Below are 23,423 nucleotides of genomic sequence, written 5' to 3'. Positions count from 1 at the left end.
TGCCCAACAAACTCAATAGTTTCTTGATCTTTTCTAAGCATCAATCTTAACTTCCATTCCTTTCTGAAAATCTTTCATATTCATACCTTGGGTTTTATCACTCAGAATTGCTCTATTTCTAAAATTTTGTACTATGAATTTTCCGCAAACCACACCATCTGTCCATCCATCTCTCCCTTCAGCCTGGTTTTTGTCCTCACATTCTCCAGTTTCTTGCCTCTCCATTACTCTCAACTCTAGTGACCCTGTCTTACTTGCACTTCCTTTACTAGTACCTTCCCTTATACCAGCTAGTACCTTCCCTTATGCCAGATCCCATGATGAACTACTTAAGTTACTCCATTTATTATCTTCACTTCTCCTCTCACTTTTTTTTTTTTTTTTTTTTGAGACGGAGTTTCGCTCTTGTCGCCCAGGCTGGAGTGCAATGGCATGATCTTGGCTCACTGCAACCTCCACGTCCCAGGTTCAAGTGATTCTTCTGCCTCAACCTCCCAAGCAGCTGAGATTACAGGCGTGTGCCACCATGCCCGGCTCATTTTTGTATTATTAGCAGAGATGAGGTTTCACCATGTTGGCCAGGCTGGTCTTGAACTCCTGACCTCAGGTGATCCACCTGCCTCAGCCTCCCAAAGTGCTAGGATTACAGGCGTGAGCCCCCACGCCCAGCCCTCCCCACACTTTTTGTCAGTATTTCCTTATGAATCCTAAGCCTATCTATTTTTCTCCTGTCTCAAGATTTAGGAACCACCACATCTGAAAACAAGTGAGCTCTATCTACCTTCTCTTAACTCTAATAGGATTTCATGTGTGCTCCTTAATACATCCTTATTTTCTATCCTACATTATGGTTATTTTGCATATCCTATCGCCTCTAGACCATATGCACTTTGCAAATAAGATCTGTGTGCAATTTATGTTGGTTTCTCTCCCAAGGTATTGGGCTTAATGTTGTAGTAACATCTGAAAACTTCCCCCCAACAGTAAAAGCTTCATGCCATTTTTTATTTGTAGGTTAACTTAACAAGTAGTTATAAAGAGTAACTGTTAGTGAAACCCTGTCTCTACAAAAAACACAAAAATTAGACAGGTGTGTTGGCATATGCCTCTAGTACCAGCTACTAGGGAGGCTGAGGTGGGACGATCACTTGAACCCAGGAGGTCGAGGCTGCAGTGAGCCATGATTGTGTCACTGCACTCTCAGCCTGGGCGATAAAGGTGAGACCCTATCTCAAACAAAAACAAAAACAAAAACAAAAACAAACAGTAATTCTTTCATACGAAGTTGTTATATGCCTGCCTGGAGTATTATAGAGTGTCTGACCCAAACCTAATGTCCTATCACCACTTGGAAGTCAACATCCATTAAAATTGCTTCCCAGAAATAATTTCAATGTAATGACAAGGGCTAGGTCAGTGAACATAGATGCTTTGACAAAGGAAAAGAAAAACAATGTAATACATAAGATGCCTTCTGCTATGGCATCTCTAGTAAAAGAAGAAAATAATAACGAGAAGATGTCCTTTTCATTAATGGTAGCCTTGCTTACCCTAGGGGGACAGAAAGAAAGTTCCCTGAAAGTGCTGTACTTTGGTCCTCCTTGTAAAGCTTCCCTTTATGAGTTTTACCCTAATCAATGTTTCCTGTCCACCTTTCAAAGCATATAACTTTCCTCGTTAAGTCAATGAAGACTATACTACCATTAGCCAATATCTACGTATGTTTTTCATGAAAACATGCTAAGCTTCATAAAGCTATGTGAACTCTTTCTTTTGTCTATGAAGGAAATAATAAAAGCCAGAACTATGGGGGAAAAAATCGACTTTACTGACCATTTCACACTAATGAATTTTAGGAAAAGATAAATCACTAAAAATTAGAGACCACATTCACAATCTTGGAAATGCTAGTTAAAAACAAATAGTTAGACCTATATACAAAAATATACACACACAACAAAATTTTAAATGTAAAAAATAAGGATATTTGTTAGTTGATGAGGGTATCAGTCCCTTTAAGATTTCTTATAGGTGTTACTTTTAAAAATAATTTTTAAAAGTCATTTGTATACACCTTTATTTGAAGATTAACACATGTTCATAGTAGAAAAAATAATATACAGGTAAGACTAAAAACCTACCTGTAACTGCAACATTCAAAGATAAATGTATTATCAGCAAATATAGAAAGACATGTACATAAATACATCTACACATATATGTTATGAAAATAAGATCATATTATAGTCCTAATAACATACTTTTGTCACCTTTGAATCATTAACACATAATGGCTGCACAATATTTTACCTGTCAGCTGCATAGAAAGAGCTAAAAAATAAATAAAGCAACTGCTACAGATTCAGATTTCCTGCCATGGACAGTCAAACTGAGACATCACTTAAATTTCCTGAAGGAAAAAAAAATAATCTTTTGAGAAATGTTACTTCAATTTTATAAATCAGGAAGCTGAGGCTTAAGGCGGTTAATAACTTATACAAACTCACCAGTAAATGAATGATATGGTCAAGATTAGAACTAATGTATGTAATTCCAAAGCTCATAGCCCTTCCATTACAATGCTGCCTCAGCTTCCTCAAGCGTACAATGGATTTCCCTATAATATTACAGTAGGTAAGGTGACTATGGAATAAAATAATTAATGAGAAAATACACTGAAAACCCATAAAGGACTACTGCAGAGATCTAAGGAACTATTACAGTGCCCTCACCTGGAATACAGGCAAAACACACTGTAATGCTTTGGCACTGAACTGTCACCTTATATAATGTTGACTGACGTTTATACTTCCATATTAGATAAAGACAATAGGGGGAATAATATCAAACCTTTTGTAATCAGAACTTAATTTTTAATTTTTTTAATTCTTAATTAAAATATTTTGCTTATAGAGACAGGGTCTCATTATGTTGCTGAGGCTGGCTTCAAGTGATCCTCCCACCTCAGCCTCAGAACTCAATTTTTTAAACTTTTAAAAATGTATTTTATTTTTTAAATTGACATATCATAACTGTACATATTTATGAGATACATAGCGGTGTTTTGATGCGTACAATGTATAGTAATTAAATCAGGGTGACTGGCACATCTATCATCTTAAACACTTATCATTTCTTTGTTAGAGCATTCAATATCCTCCTTTTAGTTATTTATCTTTAAAACATTTTAAAGACAACATTTTACATTTCAAGTAGCTTTGAAACCTATACCAAGTCTACACCATTTTAATTGGCATGAGACTATACAATTAGATTAACATTATAAAAACTGTATTTTTTGACACACTGTCAAAAAGAATGCTCTGAATTCAGAACCATTATTTGAAATGCATACTCATTAGATTTTTTTAAGAATAGTGGACATTTAGAGTCTTAACTTTTTCTTGCAACAGGAATCTTGAAAGAAGTCTAAATTATTTTTTAAATTAAATTTATGTCCAACATACCTTGCCCCTAGCACTACTGCAAAAGTTTGAAAATAAAAAGGTGTGATTTAAATTTATAACCAATTTTTCCTTATCCTGTAAAACCTGAGCCTAATTTTGTTTATTTTCACATGGATATGATGTAGATTAGAAGAATAAAGCTGCTGGGGTATAGGCTTCTGAAGAAAGAGAAGACAAACACTATTAGTTGTTAAGACTAAGTTTTCTTCTACTCCACTTTTTGCCTCTTCCCTGTTGCATGTTTAAATTCATGGCAACTTCTTCCAATAAACATGTATTAGTTATCCAAGATTTTTAAACTGAGAAGAAGAAGAGAATTCTTTTAACACTCTGTAGGACACTGAAAGCCACAGTTAACATAGGCAAATAGTATCAAATCACATTCAAAACAAATTGACTAAAAAGTAGAATTAAAATGAGATTTTTTAATAACTATACTGAAGTTCAAATATTATATAATTACTTGTACTTACCTTAAATTTTCATTAAACCTTACTGTAGCTGCACAGTGGAATATAATATTGGTAGAATCTATGATCACCTCTTTATCTTCTTCACTGAGAGCCAGTTTAGGTTGGGTGAGTTCGCTGTTGATTGCTATAATTTTCTCTCTAAAATCTGGATTTTCATCTCTCAATCTGTCAAAAAGCTATCAAGAGGGAAAAATATTTATTTTACAGCAGTATTTTTCCACTTTCTAAAACTCATTATCACCATTTTTTTCCCACCAAGGATGACTATTTTTTTAGAAACTTAAACTATACAATTCCTAAAGTTGCTATTCTTAATTGCCATTATTCTGTATAGAAAACACCCTATGAGGCCCACGCTATTATCCTCATTTTGCAGATAAGGAATCTGAGACTCAGAGCAGTTAAGGAGTTTGCTAAGTACACAAAGCTGGTAGTTCACAAAGTTGAATTTGAACTGTCCATGCCTTGGCTGATTAGATTGTATCACCCCTCAGAATAGACTTCAGCAATATAGACATTAGGACAATGTTTAAAATGATCATTCAGATTTCTAAAATCTAGATCTTAATTTTTCACTTCACTTCATTTTTATTTTATTCCCTTTTAGTAGATTAGAAAAAAACACGATTTACATTCTACCTAAAATCTTAGAACAAATTTTTAAAAAGGAAAACAAAGTCAATATGTTCAAGGAAAAAGTTGGTAAGCAAACGCAAACCAGAAACTGAACAAACTTCAGAAGTATTACATATATAGGATTTAAGCTGAACATTAAACATTCTTTAAGTGTACCCAAAGGAATAAATTTTGCTAGACAATCAGATCACAAAATGATTACAGTTTAAAGGCATATTCAATTGTGAGTCAAGTTTAACTTTTTATCCCAGATTTGACAGAGAAACACTGATGCCACCTCTAGGTCACTGCTCTATCACACTTTGACTCTCCATTTGAAGTTCAAACTTGCAGTTTAAGCAGGATTCTTAACCTAAGAAGAAAGTCTATATAACATATCAGTGCTCACTTCCACATTCCTGGATGACTTTAGTATAAACAGTCTTCCCGCTCCTACTGATAGCTCCTACTGCTACTTCCACTGCTAGCACATGACTTGAATATTAATGTTTTCTTATATTAATTTAAAAAATAAAAACTTACTGAGTATTTCATATGAGCCAGGCAGGCACCTTCTAGATTCTAAAGACACAAGGAAATGGCCTTTGGTCCAAGTAAATGTACAATTAAAATATAGTGTTAAGCAATAACAGGTAAGTGTTACGGGCCTGCATAGGAGAAACAACTAACCCAGCTTTAAAAGACCACACACAAGCTGGCTTCTCAGAGAAAATGACATTTAACAGAATGTGTGTGTGTGTTAGGGACAAAAGTGAGGGAGGAAGGCCCTGAAATTACAAAGTAGAATAATAGTGTTTCCAGGCAGAGGAAGTAGCAGTATAACCCCTTAGAAATCAGAAGGCATTAATATGCTTGGGAAATTAAAAATAATTCAGTCAGCCTGGAACATAGAGTATGCAGGAAAAGCAGCTAGAGTTGTATGGAGATAAGAAAGGCCAGATAACTGTGCCTTTTAAGCCACATTAAAAAGATGAATTTTATCTGGGAGTCATGGTGAACTACTGATAAAGATTTTTTTTTTTTTTTGAGACGGAGTCTTGCTCTGTTGCCCAGGCTGGAGTGCAGTGGTGCGATCTCGGCTCACTGCAAGCTCCACCTCACGGGTTCACACCATTCTCCTGCCTCAGCCTCCAGAGTAGCTGGGACTACAGGTGCCCGCCACCACGCCCAGCTAATTTTTCTGTATTTTTAGTAGAGACGGGGTTTCACCATGTTAGCCAGGATGGTGTCGATCTCCTGACCTCATGATCCCCCCACCTTGACCTCCCAAAGCGCTGGGATTATAGGCGTGAGCCACCAGCCCGGTCGCTATTGACAGATTTTAAGCAGAGAGGTGATACAAGCATGTTCATAATTTTTAAAAAATCCTTTGGCAGTAATGAGTTTTAGGACACTCTTGTCGTTGCCCATATCAAGATATTTACTTGTCTGAATCAAAATAACGGCAATGAGATTCAGGATGTAACATTCAGGATGTAGTCATTTTGGCTTATGACTGAATTTGAGAGATAAGGAATGCAAACTTCATTAGGGTAGGGTCCATATCTATTTTGCTCAGCATACAAGTCCAAGAGAGCAGATCTTGCCTGGCAAGATAAAGACTTTAAACATTTGTTAAGTGAATAAATTCAGTAGACTAATGAACTCAGGGAGAGAAAGAAGTACTGTTTTGGAGATACAAATTCAGTCTTCTGAATGTCAAGTGTAAAGTGCCTGCATGACACCCCAGAAGACAGGTCTAGTAAAGGTGACTGGCTTTGTGGGTCTAAGTTCAGGGAGAGAGCTGGACTATCAACATAGATTTTACTAACCACATACAGGTAGTAACTGAAGCCCTGGGAGTAGAAAAGAGTTTATCCAGGTAACAGCAATAATAAGGACACAAGATCCTAACTATATGAAACTAAATCCAAATCTAATTTAAAGGACATCCATTCATCTCACATAAAACAGAGGAAGGCTGAGTAACCATCTCACTGGACCTAGTGAGAAAACAAGGCCTAAGCCTGAAACTTGAAGAATATCAATCCTTATGGGGCAAGCAGAGGAAAAGGAACCTAAGGAATGACTAAAAAAGTACTTTTTAACACCCTGATTCGTACTTCTTCATTCTCCTAATTGCTGATGACCTTTAATTTCCTTTAATATCAGTTATCTATACCACTACCACCAGGACATGATCATGCTGCTCTTAAACTTGCTAGATCTTAAATGTGATACTCTTCCCTTCTCTGGCCAACATCTCTTTACTCAATACCATCTTTTCTGGTGCTTTCAACCCACTAGTACCCAATTAGTTCCTACTTTACTACGTTTACTAATGCCTTTTTAATATCCTTGATTCTTTCCTGAATTTACTTCATGATCAACTACTTCATTTTATTTTTTATTTTTTTGAGATAGGGTCTTACTCATCACCCATGCTGGAGTGCAGTGGCGCAATCTCAACTCACTGCAACCTCTGCCTCCCAGGTTCCAGCAATCCTCCCACCTCAGCCTCCCGAGTAGCTGGGACCACAGGCATGCACCACCACGCCCGGCTAATTTTTGTATTTTTTAGTAGAGATGGGGTTTCTCCATTATTGGCCAGGCTGGTCTTGAACTCCTGGCCTCAAGTGACCCACCAGCCGTGGCCTCCCAAAGTGCTGGGATTATAGGCATGAACCACCGTGACAGGCCATGATCAATTATTTTAATTCAATCTTCATCACCCAATGGAGTTTCTGTTACCTGAGACATTCCCATAAGTCATGGTACTTGACCAGGGGTGATTTTGGTCCCCAACAGACATTTGGTGATGTCTAAAAACATTTTTGGTTGTCACAAGAGTGAGTGAGGCCAGGAATGCTGCTGATAACCCTACCATGCATAGAACAAGCCTCCAGAACAAAGAACTAGCCAGCCCAAAATGTCAATGGTGCTGAAGCTGAGAAACCCTGCTATAAGTCAATGTCCCATATGGTGGTATGTGCTTTTGGCCTTATGTTCTTTATACCTATTTCAAAATCAGAGTAGACCATACCTAAAATTTCTTACTAACTTTAAGTGTACACTCACTGCTATTTGACATAAAAAGGACTCATTTTTATGGACTCACCAGCAATGCTATACATAATGGAGAATACATGGCTTTAGGATTAAGTGGTAGGATATGCCAGGAGGTAACTGAAGGCATAAGATAAAATTACATAATTTTATGGAGTATCAAGTTAAGTCAAATATTTGGGGAAAAAACTTTTTTTTATTGAAAATAATAGCTGTATGTTCAGGCTAAACCACTGAAGTTCAATGAAACCTCAGGCTCTAAGTAGAAAATACTCCTTCTCTTAGGCTTAGTGTGGAAGAAATTTTAGAAGCACTGCTCTGAAGACCCCGAAGAAGATGCCCAAGTCTTCTTCATGTTTTACTCAGACCCTCAATTCTGGCCAGCACATCAGCTTAAATATCTGTTCCTATCTACTCCTGACACGTCTATCACTCCCTCTTCCTTCCCTCTTAAAAACTGTCTAAAAAGCCAGGAACGTATCTTACTTATCCCTGAATTCCACCCCCTACAACAAGTCAAGTGCCCAGGACTAAGCAGGCACAATAAATATTATCTAAAAAATAAAAAGTGAGTAAGAACAAATAACCCCTCACTGGGGGGAGAGGAGTATCAGGAGAAAAATTAAAACATACCAATTACAAGTGGTTCATAATAAAAATGCCAAGATGAGTAAACAAAGGGCAGAGACAGCAATAAAACATACATGTAGACATTTTACTTAGAACAAGCCTTGTGGTTTTACAGCCCCATTGATGACTCTTTCCTTGTAGGTTTTAAGGGAAGCAAAGGATTCCAGAAGGGTTCAGCAAAGAATCAGAGAGAAAAAATGATTAAGGGAGACTAATGTAGACTAATTTGAATAATTTAAAAGTATAATAATAATTTTTAAACTTCTAAGAAAGAATCTTACATCCCATCATTAAAAAATAAAACCAACATAATGAGGAATATCTGTTGCATGGTGTCAAACAAATGCTGATGTGATATGACAATTAATTCCAAAGAACTATCTATAAAGGTATATGAAGTTCATTCAAAGTCAAAAGTCTGGTTGGTTGCTATGAAGAGGCTTGCTACAGTTTCAGGATTTTTTAAGAGGCCTATACGAATGTAGATATTCAAATGAGTGTTATTCTAATTGTAAAATAAATGCTCTACTTGAAATTCCTTTTTGAGATATGCCTGCAGTCAGATTCCTTATGTGTACCAAAATTGAGCTTATAGCCTTCCGATTCAACTTACTATTTATTAGTAAATGTCAGATAAATTCATTCATTTTGAGAGAATTCACAAACTTATGATCGTGAAATAATTTTATTCTAGCTCATTTCCATTTTTTCTTAGTAATATTTTTCCAAAGGCTCAAAATATATGACATATTATATTCTATACGGCCCCTCTGTCATCTGTTAAATGGGAATATGTGACTTCTCTACCTCCTAATACTGTTGTGGGGGAGTAAGTGGTGTTTATAAATTTTATCAAAGCATAGTGTCTTACAGAATAGTAGGTAGTCTCACTACCTAATTACTATTATTATCAAGGCTATTTAAATTATTTAGTAGTTACAAACAACCTGCCTCAAATGTTCTAAAAACATACTTTAAATACCTACCATAAAGGTAATTTAGAGCTTGTTATACAATTTTGCCAGTCACAGAGGAAAACTTTTTCTCCTTGTGATTCACAAGTCATATCCAGTTTCTTGCCATCCTGTAGGAACTTACTAAGTTTTTTTGTTTTACTAATTTTTTCAGAATACTGAAGAAATATACCAAGCTATTGACGACTACAATAATTATATACACAAGCACACGCTTTTTTCTTTGTTCTGAGTGCTCATTTTCCATACTTACCTTGCCACTAAGGACTTCTTCCACTCGCTCTTGTGGTGTCTGTCCAGCTTTCTGCCTCACCAAAACATATACTGAATTCACCTTAGGACAAGACCTCAGCAACTTTTCCAGAAGCACCTTCCCTAGAAAACCGGTAGCTCCTGTGAGGAGGACGTTCTTGCCTTCATAGTATTCTGGGATTGAAACCATTTTGATCCTAAGAAAAACATGGCAAATAAGCATTAGTTTAAGGATTCACCATCATTCTTTCATACTAAAAATCTCTTGGTATTCAAATAAGTATTTTAAAAAGCAGACAAAAGTCAAAATAGAACATTAACAAGAGAGGACTCTAACCTCAAGTTCATTATAGTAAAGTGGAAAGAAGAATGAGAACTATAGCTTATTTTTAACCCTGTGTTTTTCCCTTGGATCACCTCAGACAAGTCACTCACGTTCTCTGGACTTGAGTTTCTTTGGTACAATTTGTACTAAAGGATGTCTAAAAATTCCTTCCAGCAATAAGAACTCAAATCTTCATTCAACCTCAGTTATACCCTAAACACAAATGAATGGTTTCTCTGACTCCAAAGGGATTTATAACACCAAATACAGGTCAGCAGCAAGACTCAATTACCTAGCTTGTGTAACACTGGAGGTGTCATATTCGCGTATCAACACCAATTGAAACAAGAAGAGGTGACACCGAGCCCTTTCTACTACGTGTCTCTTAGTGACAGTATATCCAAAAGGTGCTTAAATCTCCCCTTTTAAAAAGTTAGAGTAAGAAATACATGAGCTGACTTATCTTCTCTACCCAAATTCCTCTAAAACAGCAGAAAAGACATATTAAGAAAACAACCATAATGAAAGAAAAAATAAAAACAAGGTGCAGAAGAATTCATGTATTATGTCACTACAAAAAGCTCTAACACATTCAAAACAATGCTCTGTATTGTTTAGCAATGCATACAGATGGAAAAATATTAATAGATGCATGAGAGGGAGTGCAATACAACCAGAGAGAGAATAAGGAGCTTGAATTGTATTTATGTTTTATTTAAGCTGGGGAGTAGATACATGTGATTTATGTCCAAATTTTTCATAATTAAAAAATATATGTTCATAACAACCTGGAAAAAATAGCTCCATTAAACCAAGTCAAACAAAAAGGAAGAAAGAAAAGAAACAGAAGAATTTCTAGAAGAAACAGATAAGACTGAATTGGTAGAATAGCCATACCAGAAGAAACAGCAACCCAAGCAAAACAAGGACAGGAAAGGACTATAATGAGGCAAGAGCTCTTTTTACCAATCTCCTAAATGGAACCTGGGAGAAAACATCAAGGTCAGGATCCAAAAGCTGGACTAAATCATAAGGAAATCAAGATAATTAAAAGATTGCTCACAGAACAGCAGAGCTACTCATGACAGTCTTACTTTCTGCATAAACTTTGGCTCCCAGGCTTAGTATCTAGATCTGATTGAGAAGAGCATCCAGCATGGGTACTAGGGACAAAAGAGAACTGGAATTGAGCCTGATGGTTGCTCCAAACATCCACAAACGAAGGTGGAGGAGGCAGTGGATCAGGAGAGAGCAAACAAAAACAAACAAAAGAAAAAAGCATTTATAGCGCTCAGAATACATTTTAAGTCCTCAGCCTCTGCTGCCGGCCTTAATGCAAGCTTGTCCAACCCATGGCCCAGGATGGCTTTGAATGCAGCCCAACACAAATTCATAAACTTTCTTAAAACATCATTAGCTTTTTTGTGATTTTTTTTAAGCTCATTAGCTGTTGTTAGTGTCAGTGTATTTTATGTGTGGCCCAAGATAATTCTTCTTCCAATGTGGCCCAGGGAAGCCAAAAGCTTGGATATCCCCACCTTAAAGGAAACTCACGCAGAGTTCTCAATCATACCATCTGTGGAAAAGCTCTTTTGAGAAAACAGACCTCAAAAAACTAGAGGAAGCCACTATCAGCTACCAAAACCAACCACCCTATTCCATTATAAATACAAACAGATAACCACGGATCACCAGATATTTGAAAAATACCTACAAAATAAAGAAAGACCAAAATGAAAAGCAATAGAACTACAAAGGAAACTAAGGAAAAATTTTAAGAAAACTTAAATTCCTATATTCTCTAAGTTGTTCACAAGACTGCTGCATCCATAATATAATTACTAAAAAAGGAAACAAATAATATGAAAGCATTTAGAAAATGGAAATTCAGGTGTAAGTACAAAATCCAGTAAATAAATAGACTATTAAAATTAATAGCCCCCAAGCGAATTTAATGTCACCTGATTACAAGGTTTATATGGAGAAAAAATGTATTTCTGTATACCAATAAGAAATAGTGAAAAATTTTAAACTCAAAATTATACCACTTAAAACAGTATAGAACACCAAAATTACAGAAAAAAATAAGTGTTGGTGAAGACGTACAAAAATCAGAACAATCATACACTGTTGGTGAGACTGTAAAATAGCTCAGCTGCTGTGGAAAAACGTTTGGCAGTTCCTTAAAAAGTTAAACAGAATTATCATATGACCCAGCAATTCCACTCCTAGGTAAACATACCAAAAAACTGAAAACAGGTTCTCAAACAAGTTGACACAGGTTTGTAAGGTTAAGTATCCCCTATCCGAAATGCTTTGGACCAGAAGCATTTCATTGTTCAGATTTTTTTCAAATTTGGAATATTTGCATTATGCTTACTGGTTGAACATCCCCAATCTGAACATATGAAATCTGGAAGCATTTCCTTTGAGCATCATGTTGGTGCTTAAAAGTTTTTCCTTCTGGAGAAAGTCTCACTCTGTCACCCAGGCTGAAGTGCAGTGACACAATCTCGGCTCACTGCATCCTTTACCTCCTGGGTTCAAGTGAGTCTCCTGCCTCAGCCTTCGAGTAGCTGGGACTACAGGTGCCCGCCACCACGCCCAGCTAATTTTTGTATTTTTAGTAGAGATGGGGTTTCTCCATGTTGGCCAGGCTGGTCTTGAACTCCTGACCTCAAGTGATCCACCCACTTTGGCCTCCCAAAGTGCTAGGATTACTGGCATGAGCCACCACACCCGGTCAAAAGTTTTGAATTTTGGAGCATTCTGAATTTCAGATTTTTTGGATTAGGGATACTCAATCTATAGCAGCACTGCTCACGATAGCCAAGTGGCACAAATAGCCCACATGTCAATCAGCAAATGAATAAACAAATTGTGGTTTATACATACAATGGAATACTACTGAGCCATAAAAAAGAACAAAGTTCTGATACTTACTACAACATGGATGAACCTCAAAAATATATCAAATGAAAGAAGTCAGACACAAAAGGTCACATACTATATGATTCCTTTCATATGAAATATCCATAACAGATACATATACAGAGACAGAATGCAAACTGGTAGTTGCCTGTGCCTGTGGCATAGGGGAATAGTTGAGTATAGAGAAACTGCTTAAGGAGTTTTACTTTCGAATGATGAAATGTTTTGGAACTAGATAGAGGTGGCAGTTGCACAACACTGAATGTACTAAATGCCACTGAATTGCTCACTTAAATGGTGCTATGATTTGAATGTGTCCCCTCCAAAATTCAGATTTTGCCAATGTGATACTATTAAGAGAAGGGTTCTTTAAGAGGAGATAAGGGCAGGAGGGCTCCTTCCTCATCAATGGGATTAAGGGCCTCATAAAAGTGGCTTCACTCAACATTGTGCTAGTTTGCTCTCTTGCTTTTCTTTCTGCCTTCTGCCAGGTGAGGACACAACATTCCTTTCCCATAGAGGGTTCAACAACGTGCCATCTTAGAAGCAGGGAGCAGCTCTCATCAGACAACCAAAACAATTGGTACATTTTGATCTTGAACTTCCCAGCCTCCAGAATGGTGAGAAATAAATTTCTGTTCTTTATAGATTACCCAGTCTAAGATATTTTGTTATAGCAGCACAAAACAGACACAAATGGTTATTTTATATTATGTGAATCTCATCTCAATAAATTATTTTTTAAAAAACCATCAAGAATTGGAAAAGGATAGAAAAGATATATAAGACCTCTATTCTAAAACCTACTAAATACTGACAGAAATTAAACAACACCTAAATAAGTGGAGACATATACTATATTCCTAGATTGGAAGACTGAAGATGTCAATTTACCATCCTTAAAGTCAATATAATCCCAATCAAAATCTACGCTGTTTTTTTAATATGGAAACTGAGACTTTAAAATGTTTATGGAAATACAAAGGGCCAAGATTAGCCAAGACAAACATAAATAACAAAGATGGAGAACTTACATTACCATATATTGAGATGTATTATAAAGCTACAGGAATGTGGTATTGGGACAAGAAGAGAATGGTGCAGAGTCAATTATCCATATAGAAAAAATGAAATTTTGAACTCTATCTCACACTATACACAGAAATTCAGATAAACTGGAGATCTAAATGTGAAAGGTAAAACAATTATGCTTCTACAAGATTACAGAGGAGGACCATTTCCATGACTTTCATGCAGTCATTTCTTAAACAGAACATAAAAAGGAAAATATTGCTAAACTGGACAAAACTAAAATGAAGTTTATCCCAAGACATTAACAATAAAGAGAAAAGGCAAACCAGAGTAAAAGATATTTGTAATATATATATAATGAAAACATTAATATCTAGAATACATAAATATGTAAATTCCAAATCAATGAGAGATAAACCAATAGAAAAATGGGAAAGGCTTGAACAAACAAGAAAAGAAAGTATACAAATGGGCATTACAAAAAAGGATTGGGCCAGGCGCGGTGGTTCACACCTGTAATCCCAGCACTTTGGGAGGCTGAGGCGGGCAGATTACCTGAGGTCAGGAGTTCAGAGACCAGCCTGGCCAACATGGTGAAACCCCGTCTCTACTAAAAATACAAAAATTAGTCGGGCGTGGTGGCACACGCCTTTAATCCCAGCGACTTGGGAGGCTGAGGCAGGAGAATTGCTTGAGCCCGGGATACGGAGGTTGCAGTGAGCCAAGACCGTGCCACTGCACTCCAGCCTGGCCGACAGAGCAAGACTCTAACTCAAAAAAAAAAAAAAAAAAAAGATCGAAATGACAGCACATGAAAAGGGGCTCAACTTCATTAGTTATCAAGTTAAAACCCCTATGTGATCCCACTACACTGACCCTCAGAATAAGGGTGCACAATAACTGGAACTCTCATCTTACTGCTGGAGGAAGTACAGGTTGATATGATACTTAGGAGATGGTACTACCCACTAAAGCTGAACATTCACATATCATAGGACCTAGCAATTCCACTCTTGATTATATACCCAATAGAAATAAGTACATATGTTCATCAAAAGAACAAGCAAGTATGGTTATAACAGCACCATTTTTGTTGGCCCAAAATAAAACCCAAGTGTTCATCAACAATATAACATATACAGTGTGGTATATGCATATGATGAAATATTTAAAAACAATAAAAATGAAGGAACGATCGCTAAAACACATGTGGAGGGATCTCACAAAGGGAGCGTTGAGCTAGTAAGGCCAGGTAAAAAAGTGTGTACTACTATATGATGCCATTTATATAAAGTTCAAACTAGGCAAAACATCTACGGCCAAAAGTCTTGCAGGGAAGAAGAGGGAGTGACCAGAAGGTAACATGAAGGAGACTTCTGGGATTCTGGTGATGTTCTATTTCTATTTCTTGATCTGGGAGGCTCATTTTTTAAAAATTCATCAAGCTGTCCACTTCGAATATATGGACTTTCTGAATTTATTATATTTCGATAAAACATTTACTTTGAAAAATAAAAACAAACAGGGATCATATGTCCTAGTTTGCCTAGAACAAGCCTGGTTTATACATGCTGCTCCAACTTAATTTTGATTGATTTCTCAGAAGTGTCTCAGTTTGCACAATAAATTATATGGTTACTTTCATTATAATCTACTTCAGGTTTGAGACTATTTCAAGATTTCAGTGACAAAAAGCCTAATTAAAACTACAGAGCATTGAAGTTCAAATGAATGGTCCCAGCTACTCTTGAAGGCTGAGACAGAGGGATCACTTGAGCCCAGGAGTTCAAGGTCAGCCTGGGCAACACAGAAGACCCCATCTCTTAAAAAAAATAAATAAATAAAACGGTTTGATGTCAATAACCTCATATGGGAGATATGAAGAATAATTCTGCATCAATATACTTCCTAACAAGTAGGTATTAATGACAATTACATACTCAATATATATTAAATAGTATACTGAGAACATACCTAGATCAGCTAATTCTTTGAGCTTTATTTTTTTCTTATGTAAAAATTTATTCAACAAATATTTATTAAGGGCCTACTAGGTACCAGGCACCAGAAAGTTTTCCATAGGTGTACATATGCATGTAAGACAGGGAAAGATATTAAGCAGTTTTCCCTCTAACAATTGAGAAATTAGAGCCTGGGATGAGTTCAACCCTAAAAAAAACCCAGAATGATGTACTTCCTTCAGTTATCAAGACATCTGCCCTACCAAAGCCTAAACAGCTAATCTGTCACCACCAAATAGCAGAAAATAAATATTCTGTTAGGCTTAATTCTCCTCAAGCCTAACAGAATAAAGATTGCTTGCTAAGAGAGTTGTAGAATGAAGCGGCTTCTTTCAAAGCTATTAACAAGTGATTTTATACTACTATAATGACTTACACAATTTTCCTCCTAGGGGAAAAAAAAACAATTCCCACAACTTAGCATAATGCCACCAAAAACTTCACAAGCACTAAATATATATTTTTTTTTGCTGCCAACAAGAGACTCATTTTATTTTCTTATTGTGCATTTTGATATTTATTTTCAAATTTTTTTAATTTTATTATTATTATACTTTAAGTTTTAGGGTATATGTGCACAATGTGCAGGTTTGTTACATATGTATACATGTGCCATGTTGGTGTGCTGCACCCATTAACTCGTCATTTAGGATTAGGTATATCTCCTAATGCTATCCCTCCCCCCTCCCCCCACCCCACAACAGTCCCCGGTGTGTGATGTTCCCCTTCCTGTGTCCATGTGTTCTCATTGTTCAATTCCCACCTATGAGAGCATGCGGTGTTTGGTTTTTTGTCCTTGCGATAGTTTGCTGAGAATGATGGTTTCCAGCTTCATCCATGTCCCTACAAAGGACATGAACTCATCATTTTTTATGGCTGCATAGTATTCCATGGTGTATATGACAAGCACTAAATATTTTTAAACTCTGCCTCTGGCTCAAAGGAAAGCCGCACTAATTTGAAAAGAAATGTATTCTTGGCTTCCCCATTCAACCAATACACTTCACCCTACAAACTTATTGGCAAAGCCAATAAAAATGAGAGTTCTTTTAAGGGAAGTTCAGACTTGTCCTATCTTCCACAGTCCTGCCAGAGTGGCCAGAAGCAACTAGAAAAGCAAAAGCCATGAAAGGAATGCTGACAATCCTTCCAGAGCATGCTGTTCAGATTCCTGCTACACAGCAAGATATCTACAAGCGCCTGTCATCTGTTGAAAAGTAGCTGCACCACTGCAATATGAGAAAAGCTGCAGCATTAGCATTCCCACACACTTGGGGAAGGGGACGACAGGACTGTGAAAGGTAATTTACATTTATTTTCACTGTTCTTGAGCTGCTTTAGGAAATAGCACCTAGCAGTCGTAGCTAGCTATTTTGTTCAAAACACACCTTATCTTTTGACTCAAGTTAAAGAAGCAATCTTTCTGAAGATCAGCAAAATGCTGAGTACCATGTATCACCATTATTTTCAAGGAATTCACTTAGGCTTACTTACAAAGTGGGTTTTCCTAGTGGCTGTAAAAAAAATTATCACATATTTGCATTTATAAATGCACTAAGAGAAACATAATACAAAGCTACTTAAGATATATTTACTTGCTAGGAGTTCAAGTCCAAACTCTGCAATTTAGCAGCTATGAGATCCTAAGATAAAGCTACTACTCTGAACCTGTTTCCTCATTTGCAAAAGAACACGCAGGTCTCATGGGCCAAAAGAGCCTGAAATGACCACAAATGGAGAATCACAGAGAACTTCTAAGGTAACACCCCACTCAATATAAACCTGCACTTTTGTAACATGATTGTATTCTCTTAATAAATGCCCTAATATTAATGGAAGGCTAATCATGTTGTTTCATTAATTTTAGAAACTTCTGGATAATTAAAGACAAGATCCTCTCATCTTCAACTTTTTAAAAGAGTTTTTTTTAAACAGATAAAACAATTAAAAGGAGAGATTGGAGTATTCCAATAATCAGAAAAGTGTAAAGCTGGTCCGAAGATAGTGAATTATCACAACTGATTGTTCACAGTTATAGACTGAACTCTTTGCTCTACTTGTTCCCTTCTTCTCACTATTGCACTTGACTAGTCATTTTTTAAAAAGCACAAAAAATTACCACTTTTTTTTAAACGGCAGCTTTTTGGTGCCGAGAAATGAGAATTCCTTTTTCTGTATTAGAATTTAAAACAACTCAAATTAATTAAAACTTTTAACATAATGTTAGCTGATTATTTCAGATACTTGCTAAGCAGTAAGACAAATTATGAACAAATATATAAGAAGTGGGGTATGCGGAAAGGAAATGAGAGGAAATTCCATGGGTCAGCCAGGTAGAATAAGAATGAAGTTTTAAAGAAGACTCACCAGTGAGGAGAAAAATACATAGTTAAGGGAAGAAAGGGAAAGAAAAATTTATTTAGCACAAACTGTCTCTCTCTCATGCCTTCAGATACTATTTTCCAAAAGTCTCCTTAATAACTTTTCTTGCCTGAGGTCCCTCAGCACGTCTATACGGGTAGGGTGAAATTGGAACCAAATCTTCTAACTAAATCCCACTTTTAGAGAAGGCACATAAAGTTTCTACTTGTCCTTCAGCGAGGTCAAGGCATCACATCATGAATGAGAATTGAGTGCACAGCGCTAGAAGAGAAGTTCAGAGAAAGTGAAGGGGTTAAAATAGATGATCTGAAAGGTCCTACCCAGTTCTAAAGTTGTATGACTCACGACAGGAGGAAACAACAGCAGTCTCCACTACAAGGCCTCAGCTTTTACTAACTGCATACAATGGACAAAAATCTGCTCCACAGAAAATTTTAACATATGAAATAAGACAACCTCTTGCTGAGAATCCTTAAAAATTCCACATCATTGCATTAAAAGTTGATGGGCCAAACTAGCAACTCAGTATAGAAATTTTACTGTTAAAAAATTCAGGCTCTCTCTTCCTTTCTCCACCATCATTGTGTGTGCTCGACTTGGCTTCTCACCATGTCTTCTCACAAGAGTTTCCGGATTAAGTGTTTCCTGGCCAAGAAACAAAAGCAAAAAATTGTCCCACTCCCAGTGGATTTAGATGAAAACTGGTAATAAAATCAGGTACAACTCCAAAAGGAAACACTGGAGAAGAACCAGACTGGGTCTATAAAGAATTGCACATGAGATGGCACACATACTTATGCTATGTCAAGATCACAACCATGTTACCATATCAAGCTGAAAATGTCACCACTATCTGGACAGTTGGACACGTCTTATTGGGAATATATTTTTTCTCTCTGTATGTGCTATGAAGGTGCCAGTTGGCTGGGTTCAATAATAAATATGTGAGATCTTGCATTTCAAAAAACAAAAAAAAAAAAATCAGGTAGTTAAAATCTAAAGGCAATTAGACTTTACCAGGATTTCCCTGAGGGCCATTTCCAGAGGCAGCCAAAACAAGAGGGAGAAAAGTCTACTGTCAACCTTAGAACACTACTCAGAAGACCATCTTCTAGGTGGATTTAATTATTGTCACTATCAATTTGAATAAAAAGACATCATTTTCAGGTAAGACGCACATATCAAAGATCAGTGGCTTTATTTCCAACTCCACCCTACCTGATCCACAGAGAGATCTTACCTAGATAGAATCTTTTATTGAAATATTAGAAACAAAAAACCCCCAAGGCAGTAGAGTTAATAAGGTAAGGTAGAAAACAAGAAGATTTGCGGTCTTGCTTAAGACTAATAATACATTCAAACATGTTTCTACAAATTCCTATACCAAGGTAATCCTATGGATCACTTCAGTTTGAAAATATATACTGTAACTTAAATGCCTTAAACTTGAATGGTCACCATGTTCACAAAGCAATAAAGTACACAGACTAGTGAGCTATTAGGAAACTAAATGTTTAGTGAAAACATTTTCAATACTGAATGAAATGAGGCCCAGCTTATAAACTGCTCCTTCCTAAATAAGGTAGGCCCTTTATAGAAACAAGCCTTTCAGATAATCCAGCACCAAGACACAATAGAAATCCCTGGGACTCCAAGTCTAGCAGGTTTAGGTTAGAATCTAAACTCACCTGTTTACCTTGCTGTTGAGCTTGCTTACCTGTTTGGGTCTGCAGTTTCTTTATCTTTAAAATACAGATAAAACATCCAACCCACCCAACTCCACCTTATAGCATTTTTGTGAAAATAAACACAAAAGACTGGGCACACAATTACATTTCCTTATGCATCTTCCCTTTACTTCTATGGTAATGATTCTCAGTATGGTCCTTCAGCTGTCAGTCTGATCTGTAATATTTCAGAAATAGTCTAAAAATTTTTAATGTGATGCTCAACCTATGTTTTCCTTCTTTTACTAATCTTTATTACTTAAATTCATTCCATTTCTTTATTAGATGGAAAATGTATTAAAAACATTAGATGGTTACTTATGTATGAAACAAATAATTAACGGGACTCTAACAGGATGGATTTCCTGAATGGAATGTGAAAAATTACTTTCCCTCTCGAGATAATGTTGATCTTGGAAATGGATGTACCTTCTTCTATCTCCTGTGAGATTCACCTCATTCACAATGTTCACCATGTTCACAAAGCAATAAAGTACATAGAATATACAAATATAGTACAATACACAATATAGTACTGCAGTCAAGTCTAGACTGGCTCTACTTGTATGCATCTTTCTGTATCATCATTTATTGTACAAACCCAGTAACTCACAACAGGTATATTTGTAAGGACTTTTAGTTCCATGTTTTAGCTGCTACACATTTATTTAGGGAAACTAAGTACTGCAATGGAAAGTCTCAAATTGAATATCTAACCATTAAATCCAGCTACCTAAAAATTTCTACCACCTATAGCTATACCTGGAAGTCCAGCCCATTTACGTGTTTTTTCTATTAAAATTGGCTCTTCTGTGCCTTCTGCAAGTAAACAAATTCAAAGTCAAAACCTACCAATGAAGCTAAGCACAGTTGTTCACACCTGTGATCCCAGCACTTTGGGAGCCCAGGCAGGAGGATCACTTGAGGCCAGGAGTTCGAGACCAGCCTGGGCAACATCGCTAGACCCCATCTCTATGAAAAATTGTTAAAAAAAAACAAAAAACTTACCAATGAAGAGACAGTTTTGAGCAAATGGACAAATAACAAAATATTAGTATTTCATCTATGTTTTTTTTACTCCCAATCAGGTGCAATTTCTGTGTTTAACACACCCATATCCAATGCTGCTTTGTCTTTTTTTTTTTGAGATGGAGTCTTGTTCTGTCAGCCAGGCTGGAGTGCAGTGGTGTGATCTCGGCTCACTGCAACCTCCACCTCCCAGGTTCAAGCAATTCTCCTACCTCAACCACCCAAGTAGCTGGGATTACAGGCACCCACCACCACGTCCAGCTAATTTTTGTATTTTTAGTAGAGATGAGGTTTCACCATGTTGGCCAGGCTGGTCTCCAACTCCTGACCTCAAAAAATCCACCTGCCTCAGCCTCCCAAAGTGCTGGGATTACAGGCGTGAGCCACCACTCCCAGCTGTCATTATTTAATTAATTCTGCTTATCTCATTATCTTATCCCTTTCAGCTGGAAGATCATATGGTAGGAGTACTGAAAGAAATTCAAGCAGCAGATAGAAAGTTACGTTAAATAATCTTTTAATATTCATTAGATTGCATGTCTTTAAAAGTAGAAGAAAAAATAACTTCAAATAAATGTCCCTTTAAAAGGGGGAACTGGCTGAGTGCAGTGGCTCATGCCTGTAATCCCGGCACTGTGAGAGGCCAAGGTGGGCAGATTGCTTGAGCCCGTGAGTTTGAGACCAGCCTTGGCAACAAGGCAAAACCCCACCTTGAAAAAAAAAAATACAAAAATAAGCCAGTTGTAGTGGTGCACACCTGTGATTCTAGCTACTTGAGAGGCTGAGGTGGAAGGATCACTTGAGCCCAGGAGGTTGAGACTACAGTTAGCCATAATTGTGCCACTGCACTCCAGCCTGGGTGACAGAGTGAGACCCTGCCTCAAAAGTAAAAAACTAAAAAAGTAAAAAGGATAATCAACTTCTAAGAAACAGTCTAAACCAGGAGCTGGCAAAGGTTTCTGTAAAGGGCCAAGTAACAAGTATTTTCCACTTTGTGAACCATACAATCTCAGCAACAACTTCTCAGCTCTGCCACTGTACCAGAAAAGCAGCCATGGATAATAAATAAATGAATGGGTGTGGCTGTGTTCCAATAAAACTTTAAAAAAACAGGAAGACAGTTTGCAGGCCATAGTTTGCCAACCTCTGTTTTAAACAATGATTTCCAATATTCCACAAACATTCAGAAAAATGAAGTATAAATGAGAAAGACATCAATGGGAAAGCAGTACAGTCTAAATATTCGTTGTCTATGATTTCACTACTACTATTGTTACTGACACACTGTAAAATGGCCAACAAATGCTTGTTTGATACAATAATATCTTCATGAACAAAACAACACATTAATGCCAGGCTTCAGAAATACAGATATGCCAGAGGCTGAATGCAAAAGGATGACATGACCTATAGCCTTTTTCAAGATATATATTTTTAAAAATCTGTATTTCTAAAAGGAAAGCCCATTAAGATATGCAGGGATGAGGCTTGGGTTGTATTATTTTGCAGAAAAGACTACAAGTGAAGAAGAGCACATAACATAATCCTGTCACAAACTCAGAGAAACTCTTGCCCACTACTTTGTTCAAAAACTTGATATAATAATAATAATAAAAAAGCACAGAATTTAAAAGTATGGATGGGAAAGTAGTATGGAATGGAGTATTCTGGCTACCTATCACTACATAACAAAATCACTCTAAAACTTAGTGTTTTAAAACAACCACCATTTTATTTTCTTCCACAATTTTTATGAGTTAGGAATTTGTAAAGGGCTCAGCTAAGCAATTCTGGCTGAGCAGTTCTAGCTCCGGACTTTAGCCTCTTCGATTTTCCCCATGAGATAGTTTGGGCTTCCTTATAGCATGGGGACCTCAGAATAGTCAGATACTTACAAAGCTGCTAATGGCTTAAAGACCAGTATTCTTGTGAGCTAGGCAAAAGCTCTCTCACCTTTTCTGACCTAGCCTTGGAAGTCATACAGTGTAATTTTCTGCCACATTCTATTGGCTACAAGTGATTTACAAGACTGCCCAAATTCAAGGGACTTAAATCCCACCTCAGAATGAGAGAACAGTTAGGGTCTGTACAAGCTCACACATGTGCGATGGAAAATACTGTTGCAACCATCCTTAGAAAATACAGTCTGTCACAAACAGCATCAAGTAACTGCCTGTTACTCTTGAGACTGTCAACCACCAACCCATGTTGGACCTATTTCACAGGACTACGGTACAACGAAGAGTTGTTTCTTACTGTTTTTTTTAGCCACTCAAAACCCATTTTAAAAATATGGACTCATGGATCTCACACTTTGAAATATTCTGTCTACCCAATAACCTCATCTACTGAACGAGAATTTCACATTCCCATGTTCAATTAACTTTCCCATGTTCAATTAACTATGAACTCCTGAACCTGGTTTTAGCTGAACTAAGGAGCAAAGTTCTGCAGCATTACCATCTGGAGTTGACACACCTCTAGTCAAAAGCAAGACAA

General features: G+C 36.8%; 1 protein-coding gene and 1 pseudogene across 11 annotated transcripts in view; one reads left to right on the top strand and one right to left on the bottom strand.

Annotated features, from left to right (window-relative positions):
* FAR1 (fatty acyl-CoA reductase 1) overlaps positions 1–23,423 on the bottom strand; it is a 63,679-nt gene that overhangs the window by 27,914 nt on the left and 12,342 nt on the right. For all 11 annotated transcript variants that reach the window (NM_001441242.1, NM_001441245.1, NM_032228.6 and 8 more), the window contains exons 2-3: positions 9,479–9,674; positions 3,941–4,116 (exon numbers count right to left, since the gene is read on the bottom strand). In NM_001441242.1, coding sequence (NP_001428171.1) covers positions 3,941–4,116; positions 9,479–9,667 — 365 coding nt within the window. In that variant the 5' untranslated portion in view covers positions 9,668–9,674. The remainder of the gene's footprint in view (positions 1–3,940; positions 4,117–9,478; positions 9,675–23,423) is intronic.
* On the top strand, positions 18,729–19,131 carry RPL39P26 (ribosomal protein L39 pseudogene 26; annotated as a pseudogene).

The sequence above is a fragment of the Homo sapiens genome, chromosome 11 (assembly GCF_000001405.40).
Source record: "Homo sapiens chromosome 11, GRCh38.p14 Primary Assembly".
NCBI classification, from domain to species: Eukaryota; Metazoa; Chordata; class Mammalia; order Primates; family Hominidae; genus Homo; species Homo sapiens.
Note: the sequence above shows the minus strand (reverse complement) of the source record. Positions and strands in the feature narration are given on the sequence as shown.